The following is a 3,696-nucleotide window of genomic DNA, read 5'->3' on the forward strand; positions in this document are numbered from 1 at the left end:
AGAAAGTTTGCACTCATTGAGGATGCTGAAAATAAGGATAAAAATAAGGAGTCTGTGATATTTTACAAATTGACTTCATTTACAAATTGAGTCATTTTACAAATTGACTTCAATTTTACAAATTGACTACATTTTCTTCACAGAGCTAAAGCAATACCTTAGAATTAACCCAGTCCTGTGTGGGGAATTTCTAGAAGTCCCATCTATGGTACGGTGATGTTTATCTGCTCTGATCAGGGAAGGACAAACAGTGGGAGAGTCAGGGCCTGGGAACCGGGGGGCCTGGTCCCTCTTCTCAGATCCCTCTTGCAGGGTCTGAAGAACTCTCTGGAGCCAGCAGATCCCACCTGTGCAGCAAGGAGCCTGGCCCGGACAGCTGTGAGGCCCTTCCAGCTCCATCGCTCCAGCCTCAGGAGACGAGCTGCTCTGTTTAACAGCCACAGACGTGGGCCTTTTTCAGAGACACATTCTTTTGTTGTCTGTCTGTTTTTTAAGACAGGGTCTTGTTCTGTCATCCAGGCTGGAGTGCAGTGGTGTGATCTCAGCTCACCGCAGCCTTGAACTCCTGGGTTTAAGTGATTCTCCTGCCTCAGCCTCTGCAGTAACTGAGACCCCGGGCATGTGCCACCATGCCTAGCTAATTTATTTTTATGTTTGTAGAGATGGTCTCACTATGTTGTCCAGGTTGGTCTCAAACTCCTGGGCTCAGGCGATCCACCCACCCTGGCCTCCTGAAGTGCTGGGATTACAGGCGTGAGCCCCTGCACCCGGCGCAAGACACATTCTTGAGGGAAGTCCTTCCTTCTCAGCGGTCCAGGCATGCTGTGCCACCTTGCCCTGGACACACAGGGCGGCTATCCCTCTACCACGTGGCTCCACGGTGCTGCCCCACTGCCTACGACTAGGCCTAGAAGGTTTTGTGTCCCTCAGGCTTTCTGCGCCATCCTGCTGCCGTTGGGCCTTGTCCGTGCCCCTCCTCACCCTTCCTGACTTGAGGCTTCATTTCTGCAGGAGTTGAGACACCGGAAACCCAGGCTTGTTGAGCTGTGTGTGAAGCGTGCAAGGCTCTCCTGGCTGTGACATGGTGTTTTGGTTGTTTTTTTCTTGCTTCCGGGCCCTTGGCTGGGCAAGGTGCTGGTGATTGTTACAAAGAGCTATCACCTATCAGGAGTTATGTCACCCAGAGTCTCAGGTTAGAAAAGGTGGCTGAACCTCTGCAACAAAGAAAGAGTGTGTGGTCTGTGCATTCTCACACAAGAGGGAGAAAAGTTCTAGGAGCTAAGAGTGTGGAATTCTGTGATCTGTGGGGCTGAGGGTCACCTGCTGGGAGGTCCTGGCATCAGTAAGAAGCTTCCAAGGGAAGAGCCCAGTAAAGGCCTGCAGACGGCCTCAACCAGCTCAGTGCCAGGCTCCATCCAGACGGCAAAGCTGCAGCAAACACGACCACAAGACATGGCCCTCCTGCAGCTCAGGAGGAAGCGCTGTAGGCAGAGCCACAGTCGGCCTGCGCCAGGGGGTGTGCGTGAGCACAAATACACTCTTTTGTATCTTATCTTTTATTCCCTCATTCGCCCCCCTTTGGTCAGTCCCCCTAGGTCTGTGCAGGCTACAGTCCACATGTAGACTAGGAAGTGTTTCTACCTGGCAGTGCTTGTTAGTGCAGGTTAACCACTGTGAGTGAATAGGGGTGGCCCCAGGAACACACACACTTTCCACTCTGCGTGCTGCGTCTCCTCTGCAGGTGTATCATCATTTGGGACAGTGCACCTCACTGAAGTCTGCTTAGAGGATGGCAAAATTCTCGTCACCACCAGGATAGGTGCTGTCATTTAAAAAAAAAATTTTTTTTTAATTTTTTGAGACGGAGTCTCGCTCTGTCACCCAGGCTGGAGTGCAGTGGCGTGATCTTGGCTCACTACAAGCTCCGCCTCCTGGGTTCACGCCATTCTCCTGCCTCAGCCTCCCGAGTAGCTGGGACTACAGGCACCTGCCACCACGCCCGGTTAATTTTTTTTTTTGTGTTTTTAGTAGAGAGGGGGTTTCACCAGGTTAGCCAGGATGGTCTCGATCTCCTGACCTCATGATCCGCCCGCCTCAGCCTCCCAAAGTGCTGGCATTACAGGCGTGAGCCACCGCGCCCGGCCAGGTGCTGTTATTAATAGTTATTCATGCAGCAATCTGAAGTTGTACTTTATTTATTTATTTATTTTAGAGGCAGAGTCTCGCTCTGTTGCCCAGGCTGGAGTGCAATGGCGTGATCCCAGCTCACTGCAACCTCGGCTTCCTGGGTTCAAGTGATTCCCCTGCCTTAGCCTCCCAGGTAGCTGGGATTATAGGCGCCCACCACCACGCCCGGCTAATTTTTGTATTTTTAGTGGAGACGGGGTTTCACTATGTTGGCCAGGCTGTTCTCGAACTCCTGACCTCAGGTGATCTGCCTGCCTCAGCCTCTGAAAGTGTTGGGATTATAGGCGTGAGCCACTGTGCCCGGCAAAAGTTGTAAATTATTTTCCCTGGCTACCATAAAATGACTTTATAAGCCACATTTCCAAATTATAGTTTGTTGATCAATAAATCACAAAGTTATTCAAAACAGGTGAAAGTCACAGCTCATGAGAAAAGGATCACATTAGAAGTGGAGAATGACACCTTCAGGGAGGGCAGTGTTTGAATAGTAAAGAGCGGAAACACTTCTTACAGGGCACTTCAACTATATTTTGCTTCCAATTTATCTGTTATAGAAAATCCTTCCTGTGCTTCATAGGACATTTTCACAGGGTTAATTCTAGCTGCTCTTGTAATTAAACCAGAAACATATAAAAGCTCAAAACCAGCAAGACTCACTTGTTCCCTCATGAAAAGGCCCAGTCTTCCCACATCGCAGGCAACTTCTCCTTGTCCTTGGTCACCCGGGGACCCCAGCTTGCTCCTGGTTGGTCCACTCAGCTTCTATGTGCAGGTGGCGGCAGGAAGAGGCCATGGAGAGAGCACTCCCAATGGCTTGTCTCCACTGCCCTGGGCGAGAACACACGGTGAGGTGCTCCCTGACGCCGCTGGGGCTGGGGAATGCAGTTCTCGTCAGGCAGCTGCACACGGACCTCTCTATGGCCTGGAGGAGAGCATGGCCTTCGCTGGATGGCTGACCGTCTCCACCACACAGGATAGGAAAGCCCGACACTTCTGCAGCAAAGTGGGAGTGGAAGTACACTCGAGAGAAGGGAAGAGGCCCTGTCCCGGGGGCCTCGGTGGTTAACAGGTCTAAAAGATGGACCCGTGCCGGGCGTAGTGGCTCACGCCTGTCATCCCAGCACTGTGGGAGGCCGAGGCAGGCGGATCACCTGAGGCCAGGAGTTCGAGACCAGCCTGGCCAACATGGTGAAACCCCGTCTCTACTAAAAATACGAAAAATTAGCCAGGCATGGTGGTACATGCCTGTAATCCCAGCTACCTGGGAGGCTGAGCCTGGAGAATCGCTTGAACCCGGGAGGCAGAGGTTGCAGTGAGCCGAGATTGTGCCACTGCACTCCAGCCTGGGCAACAGAGTGAGACTCAGTCTCAGAAAAAAAAAAAAAAAAGATGGACCCAGCCTTATGAGCATTTGGGAGCATGAGACTGAGGCAGGATGTGTTTCCTCTACTCGGCTCCCAGGCATTGAGAAAGGAATCCGGTTTTACGAACATACGACTGCTTTCAAAA

The sequence above is a fragment of the Homo sapiens genome, chromosome 1 (genome assembly GCF_000001405.40).
Source record: "Homo sapiens chromosome 1, GRCh38.p14 Primary Assembly".
NCBI classification, from domain to species: Eukaryota; Metazoa; Chordata; class Mammalia; order Primates; family Hominidae; genus Homo; species Homo sapiens.